General features: G+C 40.6%; 1 protein-coding gene across 14 annotated transcripts in view, besides 1 other annotated feature; it reads left to right on the forward strand.

Moving 5' to 3' along the window:
* The window catches only part of GRIA1 (glutamate ionotropic receptor AMPA type subunit 1), a 324,255-nt gene that overhangs the window by 82,834 nt on the left and 216,384 nt on the right, over positions 1-25,037 (forward strand). The window lies entirely within an intron of this gene.
* Positions 22,487-22,576: a silencer, noted in NCBI's record as "silent region_16531". NCBI's record gives its function as "represses an Ori minimal core promoter by ATAC-STARR-seq in GM12878 lymphoblastoid cells {active_cell/tissue: GM12878}" and the evidence as "EXISTENCE:reporter gene assay evidence [ECO:0000049][PMID:35858748]".

Genomic DNA, 25,037 nt, shown 5'->3' on the forward strand with positions numbered 1-25,037 from the left:
TTTAGATAAGTTTTTCTCTTCTGCCCAGAGTGCTTTTTTGAGACAGATTCTGAGACATCATCCAAGTTCAGCTGGGAAGAATGCCACAATTGATTAGAGCTGTCAGCCGTGGATGGGAGATCAGGGATTGGCTGGCAAAAGTGCCAGGGTGTTGACAGGCATAGTCTCAGTCATCTCCACAGTTCTTCCTGGCTGGAAATGCCTCTGGCTATATTACCCTTATTGCATGATTTCATGGTACTGATCAGATCCAAAGAAGGAGGATGATTGTGAGATGCAAAGCTCAGGGGACGACTACGCGGTGAAGGTGAGAGAATGCCCAGAGCTTTGAAGAGGCTGCTTCTTCTTCAAAGCTGTGTTCCAGCAGAGCACATTTTGTGCATACTTGAATTTTCATTGGCTCTAGGCTGAGCGCATTCTATTGTGGCGTTGGCATGGGAAGAGGGAGGCATGCGAGAAATATTGCATCTCTGCTATTCTCCTGGGCCCTTGTGAATGGGAATGTCTTCTTAATGAGCCTATCCCAGAGAGTCTGGCCTTTCAGATAAACAAATAAGCATCAGCAGGAGATGCTCACAAAAGGACTGGGCAAAATAGGGCCACGTTGAGTGACAACCCAAATAAAGGAGTCCTAAGAGGTCTGAAGCTGGTGGCTAATGAGCACATCTCCTCATTTGTGATTTCTTGGCCAGGACATGTATTGTTGAGGGTGCCAGGAAAGTCTGTCTTATTTTATACAGGAAGAAGCCTTTCTGGCCTTTGTCCTGGTACTGGCTTTTATATTTTATGTTGGGCTAGGGGCCTGCCTGGAGGACATTTACAAGGTGAGGAGAAATCTCAAGCTGATTTTAACCTAACACAATTTTCTTATCTTTCTAGTGATATATATCAGTTTTCTCACTTGGGAAATGGGAATAAAAATACAACTCACCTACTAGAATTGTTGGGATGATTAAGTCGGATGATTCTCAGAAAGCACTTCCCACAGTTTCCAATATGTAGTCAGCATCTGATACATGTTGGCTGCAATCATTATTAGTAACAGTATTATCATCATCATTTTGATATGTGGAAAGATACCAAAAGGAGTGTCCAGGGGTGAGGGATCTAGTTCCAATTCTGCTACCAGCTGGCTGTGAGATTTTAGGCAAGTCATCTCTCATGTCAACTGAGAGTGCTGGACGGGAGTTTTTATTCATTTTGTAAACATATTTGGAGGACCTACTAAGTGCCAGGCTCTATTTCCAGGGAGCAAATATATAAAGGTGAATAAGACACATTTTCTGTACTCAAGAGATCCCAAAGGTAATGGAGGAGACAGGTAACACATGTGACCACATAGCATGAGAATTGCTCTTACTGTGTGGCTGCATGCCAAATGCTCGTGAGGCCTGGCACGGAATTAGCAAGACTAAAGGCTCTGTCCCAGTCCAACCTTCTGTGAGTCTATAACTGAAGCATCCAAAGTATAAGCTGGGTGATTAGGGGAAGAAGAAGTCACCTAGCTGGCAAGGGGCCTAAAACTCAAGTCCCCTCCTTCTAGGACCAGAGTACTCACCAACTACCAAGCTGCCTTAAAATAAAAACATTCAAGAACAAGTGATGTGCAGAGAGGCAACACAGTGATAAGTAACTGGGGTCTGGAAATGGGAGACTTCAACTTCAATTTCAGCACTGTTATTTTGGTAGTTTAATGATTTAGAGTCAGTTGTTTAATCTCTTAGAGACTCAGTTACTTCATCAGCAAGGGTGTTACTATAGTAATACCTGCTAGACATTATTATTATATGGAGAGAGAGAGCTTGGTAAGCTGTGACATATACATTCTAGTTGGTGGTTGTTTCTGTTGTTATTATTAATAGTAACAACAATAAATATCCTGTTGTTTATTTTTTTGAAGTGTTCAGTGGCTGGTAACTGAATTAGAGTGCCTGGAGATATAGGTAAGGGTTTTTTGTTTTAATAATCATTATCTTTGTTCAAGAGAATAGGAAAAATATAAGCCTCTTTTTAACTTTAATGCAAAAAAGTCTTTATAGCTTGTGTGTGAAAAACAAGAGGAAGGGAGGAAGGGGAGGAAAGAGATTGTCTATTTCTACTTAAAGCTAATTAGAGAAGTAATTTTAGGTAAGAGTATTATGACCTGATTTCTGATTAATTTAAGTATTATTATACTGTTGTAATAGAAATCCCTGAAGTGCTTTATTGATTATCTGTTGGTAGAATGAAAGGGTAAGCAGCTGTAGTAAATAAAATTTTTGTCTGAGGCAAAGCAAAGGAGAAGTAATATAGGAGAAATTATTATAATAAAGATGGGAGTGAGAGAAGAAACCTGGGTTCTAGTTCTTTCAGATAGGTGACCTTGAACAAATCTCTTCCCTATACTTGGCCTCGGTTTCCCCATCGGAACAACCTAGGGCATACTCTAGATAATCCCTAAGGTCCCTTTCAGCCTTGACAAACTATGAGATTTCTACCTGTACAATACTGAAACAGTGATTAAGAGGGAGAGACACCCACAAAGAAAGAAATAGTTTGTGCTGTGCTCAAATGCCTGACTGATAAAAAAGAGAACAGACTCATAAAACCCACTAATTCAAATTAAATGGATAATTCTTGTTGATTTTGAGCTGGCAATCTCAGGCTTCTAAATCACAAGGAAACTCCATTTGATCCTGCAATGGTCTCTTGGTCTCTTTCTTAGCTCAGTAGTGCTAAGCACAGAGGTTTCATGGAAATCAAGAGAGAAAGAGAGAGAGAGAGAGAGAGAGAGCTGTTTAAAAAAAGAAGAACAATATACTTGGATGAACTAAAGAGTGGTCCTCATGAAAGCCTCATAATGTCCATTGCCTACCTGTTTAACCCTTTGTGGCCTGATTTTTGGTCCTCAACTGAAATCAAATTAGGTAGTCTTATGTAGGGAAATGAATAACTTGTACACTGTTGTTGTTTGCCATCTTTAGGACCACCAAAGGGTAACGAATTCAGCAGACCCACAATCCGGCACTTCAGGTTTTTGAAATTTACTCATGAAAATTTAGGAAGTCCTAAAGGCTGTGAAAAATCATTGAACTTCATTGGCAGGCAGGACCTTGCTTTCAAAACTCTATGAGGCTACAAATCAGAGATTGAAACCTAAAGAGGGAACAGGGCTTTCCCAGAGTCACCTGCCTTCCCAGGCAGAACTGGGACTCGAAGTCACAGCTAGACTAGAACTCCACTGATTCCAAATCCAGTATAACCAAGTCTCCTGTGGCCTTTCCCATGATCTGGACCCAAAGACTTTCTGATGTTCCCCAAAAGAGTTGTAGGTGCACTCTGTTCTCTGGTTCTTTGCAGTGTAATGGCAGAACTGAGGTTAGAATTCTCCTTGGATGTAAGGATCACCAGCCCACCAGGCTGGCAGTTAGACAAGGGAGTGATGGATTTGGGATGCTTTGTGTGACCTTGTATACAACAGGTTCTTAGACACAACCCTAGGACATGGAAAAGAATTACATTCATCCTGAGCCCCAGCTACTGTTACCAATTCAAATTAGGACAACATATTGATTAAGATACAGGTAGTTATGCTACCCTAAGAACTGGAATCTGAATACCTAGTTTTTATTTCTACTTCTACCGCTTGTTAGTAACCTATTCTTGATCCACCATCTAACTTCTGTGAGCCTCAGTTTCTCCATCTTTAAGACAGTGATGATAATGACAGTATCTGTAGAACAGCTTAACTTGAACTAAATGAGAAAAACTAAACAAAACACATAGAATTAAGTATGAATTTCTGAGGTTAGTTTATACATGTTTTAAGAGCTTAGAGAAAAGGAAAAAACATAAGTATCCTAAGGAGATTAGGAAATGCTTCCTTGGGAAGGTTGGAAAGCAGCTAAGCCTTGAAGAATAGGATGTATTTTGAACACTGGGAGAAGAGATGAGAAGGTAGTGAAGTGGAGGCAATAGCCTGCACTATCCAGAGACAGTTTCTGATTGTCCTAATGCTATGGGCTCTCTACTTCAGTTTAAGAAATATTCCAATCTTTGATACCTTCATTCAACAGTCCTTTCTATTTTTCTAATTTCATTTCCTGAATTGTTTCCCTGCGGAGGAGTGGGCCTACTTGTTGAAATAAATCACATCACAGATACCTCTTTTCTTCTCTTTTGTTAAAAGTTCTGTTAAAATATATATATTGTTAAAAAATTAAAGGTTATCTCCAGATAATTCCCCAAATGAGTAGGCTTAGGCTTTAATCATATTATGTTCCCTTCCTTCTTGCTCTTCACTTGCCAAGTTATACTAATGATCATAATCTCTTCTATGTGTTTTGGACTTTACAGTGTGTGAAGGTTTTATTGCCACTGTTGGCCCTCTCAGTGAGCTGATGCAATAATTTAGGTTATAATTGTTGGACTCTTTATACGAATGAGTTGCTAGAGCTTTAGAGATGTTGCCTGACACGTAGCAGGCTCTCAATAAATATTGGATGGATGGATGGATGGATGGATGGATGGATGGATGGATGGATGGATGGATGGATGGGTGAGTGGATGAATGGATGGATGGATGGATGGATGGATAAGTGGGTAGATGAATGGGTGGATGGATGGATGGATGGATGGATGGATGGATGGATGAGTGGATGAATGGATGGATGGATGGATGGATAAGTGGGTAGATGAATGGGTGGATGGATGGATGGATGGATGGTTGGATGGATGGATGGATGGATGGATGGATGGATGGATGGATGGATGGGAGAAACAGGGGCCTTGAGTGGATTGATAGCTGCTCTAAGTATCTGCTGTATTTTATCATTTTCTCTCCCTCTATGGTAACTCCAGCTTCAGCAGAGATCCCAAGGCACAGAAAGCAGGCATGCCCTGCAATCATTTATCTCTGGGATGCCCTGGAGCCTGTCAAATGGAGATAGGGACCAAGATGGTATGTTGTAATTTTGTGATATAGAAAATCTGGTCAATTTCCATGAAGCAAGGCCCTCACCCCTATGGCTGCTTGTATAAGATACTGTCCCCTTTTGTACCCTGTGTAGATAATGTGTTTGGAGTTCCTCCTTTAGTTGAGAAAAATAGAATCCTTGCTCACTTCCATCCCAAAGTCTGGATTTGAGAGGGATCAATGCTTGGTTTGCAGGGAGAATATGCAGAACAAAGGAAGGACCAGAAAACTAGAAGTCAGAAGACCTAAGTTCAAGACCCAAGTTCAAAACTTATAAACTTAACTTATTTATTCATTGATTATGTATTGATTCCTTACTCTGAGGCAGGCTTTGCCAGACAGTGAGAACACAGTAGTGAGTAAGGGGGACAAGACACCTGACTTCATGGACCTTAGTTCAAGTGGGGTAAGAGAGAAAAATTAAATAAATCAACTGAATAAGCAAGATAATTGTAAGATAAAGATTCCCCAGGCACAGTGGCTCGCGCCTGTAATCCCAGCACTTCGGAAGGCCAAGGCAGGCAGATCACCTAAGGTCAGGAGTTCGAGACTAGCCTGGCCAACATGACAAAACCCAGTCTCTACTAAAAATACAAAAATTAGCTGAGCATCATGGTGCGTGCCTGTAATTCTAGCTACTCGGGAGGCTGAGACATGAAAATCGCTTGAACCTAGGAGGCAGAGGTTGCAGTGAGCCAAGATCACACCATTGCGCCCCAGCCTGAGCAGCAGAGAGAGACTCTGTCAAAAAAAAAAAAAAAAAAAAAAAAAGAAAGAAAGAAGAAAGAAAGAAAAGAAAAGGAGAAAGAAAACACGATTCTCTGAAGAAAAAAGCAATACACTGAGAGAAGGAAACATGAAGGTATTCGTTTAAATAGTGGGTCAGTGAATGCCCTTACTGAGTAAAAGTGACATTTAAGCCTAGATTTCAATGCTGGATGGTATTCATGCTACAAAACAATTTGGAGAATATTCTAGCCAAAAGGGAATAATTTGTGCAATGATTTGAAAAATGGAAGGACAACCAGGGTAGCTGGAATGTTTATGGCAAGGGAGAGAGTGATAGAAGATTAAATCAGGAAAACAGAGAAAGTAACAGATGAGGCAGTGCTTGACAGGCCATGAAAAGAAGAGTGACTTTTATTTTAAGTGCATGAGAAGCCACTGGAAGGTCACAAGTAGAAAGGGATGTGGTCTCATCTGTTTTAAGAATTTGGTCCAGTCGGCTGGCCGCGGTGGCTCATGCCTGTAATCCCAGCACTTTGGGAGCCCAAGGCGGGTGGATCACGAGGTCAGGAATTCGAGACCAGCCTGGCCAGCATGGTGAAACCCCGTCTTTACTAAAAATACAAAAAATTAGCTGGGCATGGTGGCGTGCACCTGTAGTCCTAGCTACTTGGGAGGCTGAGGCAGGAGAATTGCTTGAACCCGCCAGGTGGAGATTGCAGTGAGCCGAGATAGCACCATTGCACTCCAGCCTGGGTGACAGAGGGAGACTCCATCTCAAAAATAAATAAATAAATAAATAAAAGAATTTCGCCCAGTCACTGAACTTCTTTGTGACTCCCTTTTCTCTCCTGAAAACAAGGATTAAACTACTGATTGTCCTTCCAAGAGGTTGTCTGAGTGTCAGATCATGTTCATTATAATACTTTGCTCCAAGTTGTGCTTGATAAATTTTGAACTGAATTGTTTCATAACAATATGAAAATGCTTTATAAACTGTAAAGGGCCATGCAAGTATAAAGTATTACCAATAACCATCATTTCCCCAAAGCTCTGACTCCTTTCCAGGAGTTTGTGTGGAACAGGTAAGATAACTGGCCATAAAATGCTTTGAAAACCCTATGCTAATAAAAGATACTTTATATTTATGTTCATTTGTTTATTGAAGTTTGCATTTGGTTCCTTTATTCCATAGCACCAATGTATTCTCTATTTTTGGGCTAGGAAACAACAAGCAGACTCAAGTGTGTTATTTAACCTCAAGAAATAAAAATATCCAGAGATAATATGATGAGTGAGGCTGAGAGTCAAGTCAGCAAGTCTTTGGTTAGAACTGGGCACTTCTTCACTCTCTTACCTGAGTAGATGGGAGCTTGTCCTCATTAGTCATAGGCCCCCCGTTACTTATAAAGAAGTTGTGAAAAATAATACTGACAATGATGATAATTTGAATGACACATGTTTAGTAATGCATATAGATATATACTCATGGGTATGTATATACAGTCCTTTGCTACTTTTCTCAAAGCATGTTTTTCTCATCTATTGTTTTAATTTAGCTCACACTCACATGCAGAGGTAGAGTAGGAGTATTCCAATTGGAGAAATGGCCATGAAGTGCTTAAGTGGTTTGCTTCAAGGTCACACTGTGAGTGATAGAGGAGTTGAAACCAAGTCACAGAGCTCCCTAGTCCTGTGCCAGCACTCTGTATCAAGACCCCTCAGCTCCTGCGGGGCCTTGTGAAAAAACAAAAACAAACAAACAAACAAAAAAAAAAAAACAGGATCCTGAGCCTCACATTAAACAATTAGGAACTGGAGCATTTTCACACTTTAGAAAATATTTGATCCATGTAGCCTAGCCCTCTTCCCTCATGTCACATACAGGGAAACAGAGGACCACAAGTAGGAGCCCACTTGGGCAGGTGAGTTTTCTGCCAACTGCTCAAGCACCTACTGATGCTTCAGCTCTCTGTCTTTTAACCTCATATGTAGCTGGTGACTAAGGTGGATGGAGATAATGCAGTAGAAGTCAAGGTGGTCCCCTCTGAGGACCATCTTACCAGAGAGGGAATCACAGTAGGAAGAGAACTCTTCAGTTAATTGATAATTTTTTCTTTGCAATGGAAGGGAGGTCTCTGTGACCTTGGGTCTGACCTCGAGCCTGACATGCCTTTTTCCCTAGCCCTCTCTTGCTCTCCCTTCAGGGATTTGGGCAAGGTAAATCTTCAAGTTCATTTACCTTCTTTAAAATTGGGCAGCTTTACACATTATCTTGGCCAATTTGAGCCTAAAAAGTGATGTAGCTCAGAAGCAGTCAAGTTTAGTTGGATGAACATGAGTATTAGGCTGGGAAGCTCATGCCCAAGTGTGAACCTTGTAGCCTTAATCAAGTGTCTGCCTTAGAGCTAAGCTTCTCTCTTGGTGAAATGGTTTAAAATACCCATCCAGTACATGTCCTAAAATGGACATGAGGTTCCTCTGGGATAAAGGATGAGAAGATACTTTGTATTTTGTAACATTCTACTCAGATGCAGGATGTTCATCTCATTAATATTACACTCTGGTGCCAGTTTCTGGGGGGTCAGCTGCAGAGAAGCTAGTTCAGGCTGCAACATCTCATTAGAAGCTGAAATTTGGATTCAGGAAGAGGAGCATGGAGTGGGTGAGAGCCACTGTCTGCTGCTCAGGTTCCTGCTGCTATCTGTATTCAGAGAGGCATCCTGGTACCTTAGCAGTGCTGCTCAGTGGGACGTCTCTGACTTTGATGTTGCACGTGTCAACATTCTAATAGGGCAGCAGCCGAGATGGGGTATGAGTTTGGAAAGACATCTTATGACAGCTTTTTCCTAAAGATGTTTCAAGAGATAACCCTTTAGAAATAACGAAGGTAGTTTATGCATTTCATAGGAAACCCAGCGGCTTACGTAGCAGCTCACTTCGAAGTCTGGCATGCGGACGGCTTCCTACTCTCCCGTTTTTGCCCTCCCTGCACATCTGTGAGAAATCATCACTTGTCACAGTAACACAGTATTGTATTTAGTTACATTGACAGCAATGGTGAAAGGACTATAAGCCTATTTCCTTCTAAACTGTTCACATCAAATGAACCTTAAACATTTACTCCTCTCTTAAAATGTAAATCAGATCACCTCAGCCTACTGTTTAAACATTCTATCATGGCTTTCCATCATGAATAGAATCCAAATGCCTAACACAAGCTGGATGGTAGCCTGATCTGACCTTTGCTGACCTCTCTGACCTCCCCTCACACACAGCTCCCCTTGCTCACTGTGCTTGAGCCACACTGGTCTTCATTTGTGCTCAAATATGCCAAGTTTTCTCCTACCTTAGGAGCTACTATTAAAATACCTAACTAAAGCTCTAAAGCTCTTCATGCCTGCACCACTCTTTTCTAAGATATTTCCTGCCTGCCTCCTTCACATCGAGTCTCAGCCCAGCTCAGCCATCTCTTCAGTCAGTACTTCGCTGACCTTCCCCTTTGGCCCCACTCCTACCCCTCTGTACATCTCCATTACATTGCCTTTGGTAATGTCTTCTTAGCACATATCGATTTGTTTACCTATTAATTCCATGCCATGAGAGGAGAGATTCTTTCTTTTCTCTTTTTTTTTTTTTTTTAGAAGGGTGTTGTTCTGTCACCCAGGATGGTGTGCAGTGGCATGATCTCCGCTCACTGCAATCTCTGCTCCCTGCCTCCAAGGTTCAACCTATTCTCCTGCCTCAGCCTCCCAAGTAGCTGAGACTACAGGCACATGTCACCACGCCCGGCTAATTTTTGTATTTTAAGTAGAGATGGGGTTTCACCATGTTGGCCAGGCTGGTCTCAAACTCCTGGTCTCATGTGATCTACGTGCCTCAACCTCCCAAAGTGCTGGGATCACAGGCGTAAGCCACCACACTCAGCCTGAGATCCTTTCTTTCTTATGGTCTCCTGAATCTCTAGCATGGAAGAATAAAGGTGCCGTAGCACAGAATAGATCTATTATCCAATGAATATTTGTTGGAGGAATGAATCAATCCTCTCTTTTTACAGAGGGAGAAGTTAGGACCAGAGAAGAGTAGACATCATTGTGTTTCTGAAGGTTTTATGTTAGCACCTTTGGGCCATGCTGGGACCTTGGCAAATTATAGCATTCAAGGGTTTTAGGGTAATGTTCATGGATCCCTAGAAAGTCAGCAAATGGGGATCAGGGTGTCTTGAGCCCTGTGAAAGTGTTGGCATATTTCTGGGGAGAAGATTCATAGCTTTTATTAGTACTTCAAATAGATATTTGATCCATTGGTAGCACCCATCAATTTTTCCTTTTAATTAGCTTAGTTTGGGGAATGTGGAGCGAGCCTAAAAGAGGATAGATGTCTCAGCACCACCTTGAAGACCTTTCTTCTTTTTCACTGACAGCATGGTTCCATCGTTCTGCCCCTGAATACGGGGACAGCTCCTCTTTTTCTATTACCAGAGCATATCTTTCTTAAATTCACTATTTCCATGATGAATCTACAGTGCCAGAAGCTAGAGTCTGGAATCAAAGAATTCCAGAGTTGGGAGAGCACTTAATTCAGTGTTCATAAACCAAAGTGTACAGCAGAATTTTCTGGAGAGCTTTTTACAACTATGCGTTTCCCACTCCTTCCCCTGACTTTTATTTGTTTGTTTATTTTTGTTAGAGATAAGATCTTACTCTGTCACCCAGGCTGGAGTTCAGTGGCACGATCACAGCTCACTATAGCCTTGAACTCCTGGGCACAGCAATCATCCACCTGAGCCTCCCAAGTAACCAGGACTACAGGGGGTGTGCCACCATGCCCAGCTAATTTTTGTATTTTTGGTAGAGACGGGGTTTCATCATGTTGCCCAGCCTCATCTCAAACTCCTGACCTCAAGCAATTCTCCCACCTCAGCCTCCCAAAGTGCTGGGATTACAGGCATGAGCCACCACACTTAGCTAATTGTAGTATTTTTGGTACAGATGGGGCTTCGCCATGTTGCCCAGACTCATTTTGAACTCCTGGGCTCAAGTGATCCGTCTGCCTCAGCCTCCCAAAGTGCTGGGACTGCAAGTGTGAGCCTCTGCACCCGGGTCCCCTGACTTTTAGAAGTGGAGTATATTAGGTTCCTAGTGTTTCTGTAACAAAATTCCACAAGCAGGATGGCTTAAAACAACAGAAACTCATGGTCTCATAGTTCTGAAGGATAGAAGTCTGAAATGAAAGTGTTGCTAGGGCTGTGCTCTCTCTAAAACCTGTAAGTGAGAATCCTTCCTTGACTCTTCCTAGCTTCTGGTGGTTGCCATCAATCCTGGGTGATCCTTGACTTGAAACTGTCAAAGAACTCCTGCACTTTAATTTCCTCCTCTGTCACCACATGGCTCTTTCCCCTCGTGTGTCTGTGTGTCTTTTCTTCTTATAAGGACACCAATCAAATTGTATTAAGGTCCACCCTACTCCAGTATGACCACATCCTAACTTTTTATGTCTACAATGACCCTATTTCCAAATAAGGTCACATTCTGAGGTACTGTAAGTTGAAACTTTGTTTTCAGGAGATACCCAAAACATGACATGACATGGGGTATGGGAATCTGTATTTTTTAAAAAAACTCCACCAGTGATTGTGTTGAGACACATTGCTCTTATACACATGCCCTTCACTGAAAAGGTGAGAGAAACTGAGGGCTGGGAAAGGGACAAGCTCAGAGTCACTCAGAGTCTCAATGACCCAGACTGGGGCACCAAGTATCATGATTCCCCCAACATTCTTTCTAATGTGCCAAGCTGCCTTTTGGAGTCTGGACCTGGTGATGCTCTCACTGGTCTCCAAGGACCAGCATTTAAGTGAATATTTCCAGTGGTCCATGTCTGCCCCAAGGGGCTACTTACTACTCCAGTGTAACTAGAGGGGCATTAGTGGATCTTTTGGTCAAATCAACTGCCTCCATCCCAAAGGATATGGTTTTGGGGCAAGTTGGACTACTCCAGCAGTCATGGACAGGCACCCCAGCTTCCTCCAAGTTGTACTCATGTTGCCCCAAATTACTGTGGCGGATGGCTGGTACTATGATGAAATTCTGTGTTATATGTGTGAGAAGACTTCCTTCCTCATCCATCACTTACCCAGAACACTAACATGTGGTATATATTAACACGATCCTCTCTTGGGTTAGCATGTGGGTGGGTTCTTAGGAAAATAAATTAACATCTGGAAAGACAACCCAAGCCTTGCCCACAGTGTTTGAGATGTTACTCAGTGGAAATATTGGTTGTCGTGCCCAATTTGTGTCCCCTCCCATTGTGTTTTTATGCTGGAAGTCTGCACAATCTGTTGATCCCCGTCTCAACTGGCTCCCTCACAGCAGATGCATTTAAAGTCACAGATCTCAAAGTAAGCAAATCTAAAGTGTTTAATCTATTATTAATCAGCTAGTTGCCCAAATGATAGAGCTCTAGGGGACCCTGAGGAAGACATCAATATTTATGGCCTCCTTAGGGAGTGCATATTTTTCTCTCTCTCCTTTATTCCCACCTTTCTTGCCTTCAGATGAGAATGGAAATATGAAGCCTGTTATGTTTTATGCCATTGTACAAGGCAGGAATGTCATGTTTTGAAATGAGATGACTACAATGTGGTATTTTATGTTTGTTTGAGAATATTAGCTGTTAGGGCTGTGGTAACCTCTACCAGATTGGGTTAAACAAAAGCAGTCTGCAGTCCATGATAATACAATGGAAAAGCATAGGGAACACAAGAAACCTGGGTGAACTTTTTCACAAACAATTCATTTTTCTAATGAGGCAACTAAAGCTCAGAAAAGGAAAGGGTCTTCCTTGTGATCATACATTCATTTTATCATTCAACAAACCTTAACTGAATACCTCCTATTCAACAGTGCACGAGCTGCCAGGAACAATGAAGTAAGTATTAACAGAAATGCCTAACATTTACTGAGCACTTCTTAGGTGCTGGGTACACACTAAGTCCTTCAAGTAGTCTCTCCTGCTGAAAGTGCTATTCCAAGTGCAAGTTGGAACAGCAGGTGCCTTGGCACCAAAGCTCTATGTGACCGACCTTTCTGACCTGGCCTCACTTCCTTCCCCCTCCCCTCATTTCTCTCTCTTCTCTCCCTTTATTTTTCTTTTCTTTCTCTCTCTCTTTTTTTTTTTTTTTTTTTTTTTTTTTGAGACAGACTCTTGCTCTGTCGCCCAGGCTGGAGTACACTGTCGCGATCTCAGCTCACTGCAACCTCCACCTCCCGGGTCCAAGCAATTTTCCTGTCTCACCCTCCCAAGTAGCTGGGACTACAGGCACCCACAACCATGCCCAGCTAATTTTTGTGTTTTTAGTAGAGACAGGGTTTCACCATATTGGTCAGGCTGGTCGTGAAATCCTGACCTCAGGTGATCCGCCCTCCTCGGCCTCCCAAAGTGCTGGGATTACAGGTGTGAGCCACTGTGCCCGGCCCCTGTCCTCATTTCTTATGCTCCAGCCTCAGTGGCTTTCATTGTTACTGTTTTTGGAATATAAATCAGGCTTATTGCCCCTTTGGACCTTTGAATCACCTGTCCATGCTGACTAGATTCCTCTTCCCGTCCTCATTTCTGGCTACTCATATTTCAGGTCTTAGCACAAAATCTTTTTCAGCAATTTCTTGAAAGTGAGTCACCCCATTCTCACCCATTAAGAGATAGTGACTATCGCTATCATAAGATAGTCACTATCTCTTAACAAACCTGTTTTAGTGTCATCCTACACAGTGATGTGCTGTCAAATCCTTAACACCTGAGTCTGATGGGGTGGTGGTGAGGAGGGGGAGTGTGGTGAGGAGGGGGAGTGTGCTGATTTCAAGCATTTGCCAATTTTCATGATGTAAAGACCTTTACTATGGCTGATTCAATAGTTCAAGCTATCAGCATGATGTCACTGAATGAGAAGTTGGGAAGAGATATACACAGTCCACTCTTGTGAGCCACTATGCACCAGCTCTGACATACTTCTTGTTGTCTGAAATTATCATATTTATTTGTTTAGTTGTAATTCTTTTACCCTCCTATGCAATGTAAGCTCCAAAGGAAGAGGAACCTTATTTGTTCTGGTTATGGTTGTATTTCTAGCATCTGGAACAGGGCCAAGAATATGATAGTAACTTAATAAATAACTGTGGAATGAATTATGAATGAATGAATGAGAATTCTCACAATAACTCGGTTAGGTAGGTGCTACTATTATCCTCATTCACCGAGTAAGGAGACTAAAATGTGGCTAGAGATTAAATAACTTGTCCAAGCTCACACAGTCAGTGCATGGGATTGCCAGGATTTGAATCAAGGCAATTTTTCTCCAGAGTCTCTTCTCTAAATCCCAAGTTATATGAATTTAACAAAGTCACTCCTCTTGAAGAGCTCAAAGTCTAGAGAAGAAATAGACACTTGAACAAAAGGGGAATAATGCACCCATGACAATGACAAATATGTACGTAATATACACTCAGAGACCTCGGTGAGTGAGAACCAGGAGAGTGGCATGGTGATTAAGTAAGGTAATATTTGATGGAGTCTTGGAGGATATCATTGGAGTGCTTTTTCCACCATGCCAAAGTTGCTTCCCACCTGGAAAAACTGACATTATGAAATCTTTCTTGGATAAGGAAGAGAAATCAGGCTTTACTCAAATGTAAAGAAAAGCACAGAAGCATTATTGAGATGGTTTGAGGGTCAGCCGGATATTTCAGTACACAAGAAAACTGATAGTCCACTTGAGGCACGTTTCCAGACAGGGTCTTAACTTCTCCTCACTGCTGATCTTGTGACATGTTCTCTGATGAAGGGCTTTTTTAAGCTCTAGGTTGAATTGCTCACCCATTTCTGCTTCTGATTCTTTGCCTCCTGCATCAAAATTTCAGGTGGCTACTCACCTGGGATGGTAGTGTGATATAGTTTGGATGTTTGCTCCCACCCAAATCTCATGTTGAATTGTAATCCCCAATGCTGAAGGTGGGGCCTAGTGGGAGGTGTGTGGGTCATGGGGGCAGATCCCTCAGGGCTTGGTGCTGTTCTTCCAATAGGGACTGACTTCTCATAAGATCTAGTTGTTATAAAATGTGGCACCTCCCCCACCACCCTCTCTCACTCTTGTTTTTGCCATGTGACATGCTTGCTCCCACTTCACTACCCACCATGATTATAAGCTTCCAGAGGCCTCCCCAGAAGCAGATGCTGGTGCTATGCTTCCTGTACTGCCTGCAGAACTGTGAGCCAATTAAACCTCTTAAATAAATTATCCAGTCTCAGGTATTTCTTTACAGCAGTGCAAGAACAGCCTAACACATAGTGAGTGGACAGAGTACTATTGCAGTCTCTGATTGTTCTAGTAGCCAGGCTTGAGAAACCACAGAGTCATCACTGACAACTGCCTTGGCACTCCCTGCCTCTTCTTCTCCCCTCCCCAATCCCAAATAGCTACTAGGTTCCTTTGTCAGGTCTTGCATCATACCTTTCCCTTCATCTCCACAGCTATCATTCTGGTCCAAGATATGGGTCTATTCATCCACTCATTCATTCAACATACGCTGAGTTGTTGTCTGCTCTGTCCCAGGCAATGTGGTAGGCTCAGGGAATACAATGATAACCAAAAGCAGACATGACTCCTACACTCACAGATCCTATTTCCAGGGGGGCATATTCTAGTGGGGCAAGCAGTTGTAAATCAAATAACCACCTGCATAAATGGATAATGCCACTGTGATGAAAATTACCAAGGGGAGAAGGACATGGTGCTGGGGGAGTCTCTAACAGGGCATTTGACATAATCAGGAACACCAGGGAAGTAGTCACATTTATACCAAAATCTTAGGTTCTAAAAAATGAGAAAGCATTAAGGTATCGAATGGAGGAAAGGTCATTCCTGCCAATTGAAAAGACATGTACAAATATTCTTCAATGGAAGGACCTTAGCTCCTGCCAGGATAGTGAAAAGCAGGTTGGTTTGGATGGGGACAGAGAACACAGGTAGAGAATGATGTGGGATCAGGCTGAATAAATACGGCAGTGTTAGCCTCTGTGTCTAGATATTTGAGGGAATCAATTTTTGCACTCCCTCTATAATACCTAGTCTCCCCTTCTGGCTCATTTTGTGCACCCTTTGCCAAATTCCTCTTTCTAAAGCACTGGGTTTGTGTGTATGTGTATGCACGCACTTCCCCCAACCCCCATGCCTCCATTACTCCTCTACTCCAAAAAATGTCAGTTGTTTTTCTAGTGCCTGCAATGTAAGGCCTAAGCCCACTGGCATCAAAGACTTCTGTAATTTAGCATCAACTAAACTTTCAGCTGTCACTTCCCACTGTTGGGAAACCATATAACATGATGTTAGAACATAGTGACAGAAGGAGCTTTGGAGTCAAATAGCTGATGTAAATCTTGTTTCTTCCATTTTCTGCCTTTGTGACCTAGGACAGATTGCTTAATCCTGCTGAGCCTATGGTTTTATACTTTTAAATTGAAATTATAGTGTAAAGTTTAAATCAGATAATTAAATAAAGCCTTGAGCATAATCCATGATGTACTGAAAGTAATGATTAAATAATAGTCTATTAGACTATACAGCCTACTCACTATCTCTCATTCTTATCTAGTATTTACTAGCTAGTTAGGCACTATTTCTATTGCTTAGAACAACTTCTTTCGCATCTATCCAAAATGTATAACCCTTTGGTCACCAGATCAATATCTTCAGCTCCTTCCTTTCAGGTACTATATATTGCATTTGCTTCATAACACCTAATACAATGCATGAAGCATGCTTTTAATAAACATTCCTTGGATGGATGAATAAATAAATGAATAAAGAAATGAAGTAAAAGAAAGTCAATTTTTATATTATTCTAAGTGAGGGAAAAAAGAGAAACGAATCAAAATATCTTGGAAATAAAATTCTGTTCCTCTCTGAGCTTTTGATTTGTTTATAAGCTGGGGAGCATGTTGCTTACCATTTATTTAGTCTCACAAGTATGTTAACATCATCAACATAAGGTTTATGAAGTACTTTATACTGCCTGGAGGAAGGATGGTATAGAAATTTAAAATATTATATATGATCCTTCCAGGAAGAAAAAAAGAAGCAATATCTATTCTGTGAGGTGCATCAATTTTGGATCACTCTAATGGAAGTGCCCCGAGCAGTTGGTTTATCTCTTCAAATGTGAATTAATTTATACATTTCAAAGCTCCTGATGGATACTTTTCATTTTAATTAAGTACATTTTTGCCAAATTTCAACTTTAAAAACTCAACAAATTTGTTCCCACACTTGCTTTGTAGAATTTGCAATATTAGATATAAATTTATTATAAAAGGGTATGTTAGAAACTTCTCATACTGAAATCGGCCACCCAGCAACTTTTTCTTAGGATTCAAGTGCTCTAACATGTGCTCGCTTGTTTGTCTGTGTGATTCGGTGGTTTTATTTTGATTTTCATAGAAAATAATAAATATGTCTTGAAATGATCATTTCATTACTGAGTATTGCCAGAGGTTCAGAGTCCTTGCGTGCATCTGCATTTACTCTCAGGTTGGCACTATAAACTGCTACTGCAATTGTGATAAACTATCGAGAACAGAAAAAAGAAAATTTGATACAGAAATAATGCATAGTAAAATAATGCTGGGTGAGGGCTCACTGACATAATAATGTACTGTATGGAAAAAGAGGGAAGATGCTGTTGAAGAAACTGAATATTCACGCAGCGCACAGTAGTTCAGGTGTGCTGAGCTCACAGAATCAATGTGATTGCACAGTACTATATTGCTGTCACAAATGGTGTTTTGGAGTAAACAAATACCATTGTTTCTAACATTAAATTAATATTGGTGATTCAAAATGTACTGAAATTATAATTTGTGTTTGTCTCATTTGTAAATTTCCTTTGGTTTTATAGTTTTAAGATAGCTATAAATAAAGGATTGATCTCTGACTTCATGTTTGTACATTTTCAAGTATCATTATAGTAAATATAATTTGTCAACATTGTGGATTCAGAAGAACAGTTTCCTTCAAAAAGCGTTCATAAATTACATCAGTTCGAAAAAATTGCATTAGTAGATGATAGTAAAAGCCTCCAAGAAAGTGTTGCATTATGGCCAAGCTTTATTATACCAAGTTCACAAAACATAAAGGGAGGAATCAGAAATGCAGAGAATGGCAGATATGGAAACAGCAGCTTTGCAGGTAAGAGTAAAATACTGAAGTTCTAAGAGGTTTTTAGGGTTGGATAAAATGGAAAAATCAAGACTGAGAGACCGCCAGAGTCCTGTGAGTATTGTTGATGAACTCTTAAAATGTGCAAACTCAACAAGCTATTGAAATGTGTGTGTGTGTGTGTGTGTGTGTGTGTGTGTGTGTGTGTGTGTGTTACAATATATGTATCTCTTCTTCAATGCTTTGGAGATCTTTTTCCTACAGGACTACTTCTCTAATTTACCAATAACAGGCTTTGTGGAAATGATACCAATTTTAAAGAAATTTACTTTACACCTATATTTTCCTAAAAAAAAATTTGTGAAACAAGGGCATCCTTATTTTACCTCTTCAAAACTGTTATCTATACCAAGTTATCATAAAAGCAGTAAACCTGCATTTGTTAGTTTTTAAACTTTATTTTCAACTTCCTATGTCTATAAATGTTTGTTCTTGTTTAGGATGTGTACTGTGCTTGTTAGAAGAATACCACCTTTTTTTCTTACCCTTTTAAAGTTGAGAAGATTATTTGTAAGAGTGTGAAATGGTCTAAGCATTGCCCCTTTAAATGGGGGTATTGTGTTAATTGTAAGCACTGCAAAGTGGGTTGCTATATTGTGGCTGTTGTACTCAGTGTCAAAAGATTTAGTTCCTTCTTGACCCAGTCCTAGTTATTCAAGAGTCATCAAACAGAGATACACAATTTTAAATTGTTTTTCAGAATGAATCTGAAGAGAGCGAAGAGTTGAGTGGAGAAGTCAGCTAGATCATCCTTGTCTATCTATGCAGACTCCTTCCCATAATTTTTCCCCAATCTAGTTTATGCCTAATTTTATACCAGGAATTTCTTCCTGACCTTTTAATTGCCTGTCCTTAGGGCATGAAAATTATGAGTGTAATTTTACAGACCATTCTTAACTTTTCAAAACCATTCCAACGATATTCATCTAAGAAATGGCCAGTGTTTGTGGAGCACTAATTTGTCACGCAGCATTGTGCTAGACATTCAAGATATCCCATTGAGTATCGCACGAAAACCCTGACCAACACATCCCTATACCAACTAGGTCAGATCCTCATTCACAGGTATTCATAATACATAAAATTCCCCTGCATAGCACTAGGTCACATGTAGGCAATAATTATTTATCTTGTATATGCCTTTTCACTCAACTGTGAGCTCCTAGAGGACATAGGTAAAATCTGTTTTGTTCACTGCTGAATTCCTAGAACCCAACATAGTATCTAGCACCAAGAAGCACTCAATAGAAGTTGGATGAACTAAAGAAGAAATGGTTGGTCTAGGAAGGGGTTGGGACCATAAGAAGCATACTGTTATTTAAGAAGCAAGGAAGGCATTTAAAAAGCACAGAATTGAATAAAGGCAGATTCCTGCAGCAAGAATGCCACACAAGTCAGAAAGTAGGCCAGATTATTAACTACAAACTAAGGAAGTAGAATAACCTTTTGTGATTGCAACATGAAAGCAAAAGTCCAAACCAAGAATCATCTCAAAAGATAGAAAGTATATTAGGAAAACATGCTTTAACTGTACCCGGAAGAAAAAGAAGTGGGCTACCCCTTTTAGTGTGTGAGGAGGGAAAGCAAATGACTGATTTCAAAAGGCAAAAACATCTCGGGCTTTATTCTTTTGCCCCACCTTAGTTTTTCTTTCCCAGAGTAAAGGCAGTGATATTATAAAAGCACACAGCATCCAGAGGGGTTGGGGAGGAGTATGGCCATGAAACTAAGGGCTGATGAAAGATGATTTTAGAAGTTGGTTCTTTTCATAGCAAGAGGCTGTATTCCTTGAACTGTCCAAGCCATGGCCTGTTGTTTTTCAGAACTCACAGAAGGTGGTAAAGGTCAGAGAGTGTCCCTGAAACTAGTAGATGGCTCTAGATTCCATTGAATTCCTGCCAAGGGGCCTGACAGCATAGATGAATTCTACTACTTCCAGCTTCCTCTAGAGTTAGCAGAGTCCAGGTTTGGGAGTCAGGAGACCCAGATTCTAGTCCTGTCTGTGCCGTGGTCTCTTTGTGGTTTTGAGCATATCACTTTATCTCTTGTATCCTCAGTTTCCTCTTGTGTAAAAAGGAGATTTTTCTCATCACTAGTTGGTAGGACAAGGACATTTTTAATTTATTTTTTCTCCCTAAATAATGCATGTATAACTTACAAAATCAAATGTTACTTCAAGTCATAAGACAAAATTCAACATTCTCTTCCCTCCTCCCTTTCTATCTTGGATTCCAGCTCTCATAGGGGATCACTTTAGGCTCTCTTAGCTGTTTCTTCTGATATTTTACCTTTGTATCTCTTGTATTGCCTGTTCTGGTTTGGGCTGCTATAACAAATACTATAGACTGGGTGGCTTAAACAAAAGATGTTTATTTCTCAGTTCTGGAGGCTGGGAAGTACAAGATCAATGTGAGGCCAATTTGGGTCTTGGCAAAGACCTGCTTCCTAGTTTACAGATGGCCACCTTCTTGCTGCATCTTTGCATGAAAGAGAGAGGAGAGAGAGAGAGAAATTGAGTCTCTTTCTCTTCTTAGAGTCTCATCATGGGGCTCCACCCTCGTGACCTCTTCTAAATCTGATTAACTGCCAGGCGCAGTGGCTCACACCTGTGATCCCAGCACTTTGGGAGGCCGAGGTGGGTGGATTGCTCAAGGTCAGGAGTTGGAGACCAACCTGGCCAAGATGGCAAAACCCTGTCTTTACTAAAAATACAAAAAATTAGCCTGGCTTGGTAACACATGCCCGTAGTCGCAGCCACTCGGGAGGCTGAGGCATGAGAATCACTTGAGCCTGGAAGGTGGAGGATGCAGTAAGCTGACATCACGCCACTGCCCTCCCACCTGGGTGACAGAGTAAAATTCCATCTCAAAAAAATAAAAAATAATAATAAATCTGATTACCCCCCAAAGACTCCATCTTCTAATCCTATCCCACTAGAGATTAGGGTTTCAACTTATGAATTTGTGTAGGGGGCACAAACATGGAGTCCATAGCAATGCCGTTTCCTGATTTTTCAATTTTAGATATTAGTTTTTGACTGTACTATGGCAGATGCAGAATATTAAATTAATATTCAGTATTTACGTTATGATGACTAAATAAATACCTTCACAACCAAGCCAAATAGCACACTCTTAAACTTTTTGTGTTTCTGCTTTATTGTTTTTTGTTTGTTTGCTTGCTTGCTTGCTTTGTTTATTTTATTCTGCATATTTTATCATTGACTCAGATCCAAAATTTCTGAGCAAACCACAGAATTCCTCCCAGTTACAATCAGGAGTGTGAGATGATCTCTCAGTTGCATGGTTTTCCCAGAGACCTTCCTCTGGGAGCCCCATTCAGCTGAAGCCTGACCTGGTTGCTGCTGTGACCTGCAGGAGAGCTATCTTCCTGGGACCAACACTTTTCGCTAGTTCAGGCTCTCCTATTCTCTATATCTCATTCTTCCTCATTACCAGTTATGCTCTCATTTTGGCAGAATGCATTTTCCCGTAGTTTCTTAAGAAAGACAACATGAGGGTAAATTTTTAGATCTTGCATATTTGAAATAGTTTTTATTCCACTCTTAAACTTCATTGATTGGAGATGAAATGCAAGCTTGGAAATAATTTTTATTCAGAATTTTGCACACATTATTTCATTATCTTCTTTTTTCCATTGTGGCTGATTAAAAAGTCCAATGTTATTCTGCATGCTCCTTCTTTGTTTGGGATTTATTGTCCCTTCTCCTCCTCCAGAAGCTGTTACGATTATCTTTTTGTCTCTAAAGTTCTAACTTCAAGACAATCGCCTTTTTTAATTCACAGGTCATTCATGGGGCTAGAAAGACATTCTGTAAGCTTTTTCCACCTGAAGACTCAGACCCTTCAGTTTTAAGAGATTTTCTTTTGTAATTTATTTGATATCATCCTTGCCTTCATTTCTGCTCTTTCATTTGCAGTTCCATATGTTAGGCTTCCAAGATTCTATTTCTTTGACTTTTATTTTATTTTTTGGGTGATACCTTCAACTTCGTCTTTCAGTATTTTTGTCAACTAATATATTTATCTACTGCATTAACTTCCTAGAGTTCTTTTTTGCTTTTTGATTTTTCCTTCATTATAGCATTCTATTCATACTCTAGAATGAGTGTATGTTTTTTTAATGTGTTCTTTTGGTCCCTAAATTGTGCTTGTTTCCCATGATTTATTTTCATTCATTTGCTTGTTAATTTTAATTTCTCCCTCTCCCTCCTCCATATTTAGAGGCCCTTGACTATCTGCTCTTATAAGTACCACAAAGCCAATGGGCTCTTCTGCATGCAAGTAGGAAGATGGCCAGTAAGTGTCCTCTCCCTTATTCTCAGCTATACCTGGTGATCCTAACCTAGAGTCTAAATACTTTGTCTTCTTCAGAGTCCACCCCCAGTCTTCTGCTTGGCTGAAAAAGAGGGATTACCTGGCTGCATAGGCTAGGGCAGGGGCTCTGGGGCTTTCCACCAGGTTTTACCCCATCCCATACCTCAGACTTCAAAGTATCCAGTGCTTCATATTTTTACACCTTTCTTGTGATCTGTGGTTTTATGGCTTTCTTCTTATTGACTCTACTCACTTCCTCTTCACAGATGGTTATTTCAGCTTTCTTCACCTTGCTAAGTCAGTTACCTTCATCCACTCTCCATCCTTCAGATGTTGTACTTCCTTTGTCTTCTCTTCCCTCTTTTAAGTTTCTCTTTGATCTGTATATTCACACCTATTTTATTATTTTGCTGTGATTTATGTGAGTTTGGGGGAGATAGCAAAGATAAGCATGTATGTTCCACATCACATGCATCAGACACAGTGTTGTGAAACTGTAATTTTTAAAATAAACTTTTATTGTAGTTTTAGATTTACAGAAAGTTCACAAGGTTAGTTCAGAGAGTTCCCAAATACTCTGTGCTCCATTTTTCTCCCCTATGATTAAAATCTTACATTAGTGTGGTGCATTTGTCACAGTTAATGAACCAATACTAATACTAATACATTATTATTAACTAACACTAAATACTTGTTTAGCTAGCTCTTTGGAAAGAAGTCACTATGTCCAGTCTACATTTAAGAAGTGATGAGTTACACTCTACCTCTTTGAGGGCAGAGTGTCTATGTAAATTATTTCAAATTATTCTGACTGGGAAATTTGTTTCTTCTCACTATTTATTTACATATCCAGTCATTTATTTATATCAATATGGATTCAAGGATATCTATTTTATACTTTGGGTTATAATTCAATACCATTTCATTTATTTTATTGCTCACATTGTGAAATGCTTTTTAATTGTAAACCTTTATCTAAAAAGCAAGATATGAGTTAAATAATATAATATAATATATATATAATTAATATATATAATATAATGTAAATACGGTCTACATCTTAGAAATAGTTCTTTAGTCCTTTACTAACTAACAAAGTGCTAGACACAGAATGCTGGGCAGGCACATAGGATTGGAACACTAAATACTTCTTTGGCTAACTTAGTGCTTTTAAATATATATTCAGTCATTTCTAAATTCCCAGTGTCATGTTCCATGAGAGGTCACATAGATGCATAAAAGCTCCCTCAAGGACTATAACCTTATTAGGGAAATACACATATATAGACAATAAAAAAAAAAACAGGTCAACACTGTCACTAAGTAGCAAATTATGTCATTTTCATAGTTTAAGAGTGACAGATTTCATGGCCTGAGTGATCAATTTGGATGCATCCATCATGGCTGGCATCCCAGAAAAGGCTGGGAATGATTTAGACAGAGTGAAATGAGAGAGTCTTTTAACCACACAGGGTATAACAAGTATGCATCTATTCTTTTTGGAATGTTTAAAAATTATCAAATCAGAAGCATCTTAAAATTCACTTTTCTTTGAAAAATGTATGCAAGATCCAGCCACTTTATTTTTGTTCATATTTGGTTTTCGGCTCTGTCCACATGTACATTTCAAAATCCAACAAACAATTCCATTGTTTATACATTGTGGCTTCCAGCTGACAAAACCCCTTTATACACTGGCTCACTGATCCCCACAGCAGGCCTGTGAAAGAGGCAGTTACAACAGGTATTACATAGAGCTCCATTTTGCAGATGGGGAAATGGAGGCCCCTGATTTTCAGGAGGTTGCACAGGTACAAATGGGAGAGGTGGATCTAGAACTCAGCACTCCTGACTCCAAATCCAAGGCTCTGTTCATCAACTTGGAGCCCCTGTTCTGACGCTGGAAAAGCTGGGTGGAGGAGAGGCAGGAGAGATGGAGACTCTAAAAACTCAGTGTTGTGGTTTGTTAGGTCTCTGGTGTCCTTACTCTCCCTTCTCAAATGAAATGTAATATCTCAGCCTTAGAGATTAAAATGGGTTGCCAGTTATTCTCCTTCCTTTTCCAGGAAGAGGGGATTCTGCACCACTAATCTTTGCTAGTTGAACAAGTTGTTTAATGAAAAATCATATTTGTTTGCTAAAGCTGGTCCCACCGGCAAGCCGGTGCTAGTGCCACTCAGCTGTCATACAGGCTGATGGGTCAGGCAAGAGGTGGACGTAGGGTCTCTGGGAATGGTCTGAGCTCACCCGGTCCCGTGGCCTCCCCAGGCATTCTGCACACTTGGCTGTCTGCAGCCTCCTCTGCTAGGAATGAAGCAGAGAGAGCAAGCAAACACCACCAGGAAAGCTTCTTTAAGGTCCTTTGAAGGGTTCACTCTGCGGGAGACTGACGGTTTTGAACATTTCAGCTCTGCAGAGCCTTAAGCCCTGTTTTGAAGGGGCGCTTTGGTCAATAGAAATTTGGTCCTTAGAACTCACTTTCCCTCTTTTCCTTTGTATACTTCAACTCTTAGTACGTTCAGGGACTACCTGAATATGAATTGGTTATTGAGACTTTCAGAGGCAGGATCTCTGAAGGTCTGTGCCATGGATCCTGCACCCCATTTTGCAATTTTGCATGTTATTCTTCTTTCTAGGTTTGTGGCCCAATTAGGGGATCACCAAATCTTTTTCAAGAACTCAGGTTCTATAGGCAGACTGCCAGGGTTTGTATTCTGGTTGCTTCATTTCACATCTATGTGGCCTCAGA

The sequence above is a fragment of the Homo sapiens genome, chromosome 5 (assembly GCF_000001405.40).
Source record: "Homo sapiens chromosome 5, GRCh38.p14 Primary Assembly".
Classification (NCBI taxonomy): domain Eukaryota; kingdom Metazoa; phylum Chordata; class Mammalia; order Primates; family Hominidae; genus Homo; species Homo sapiens.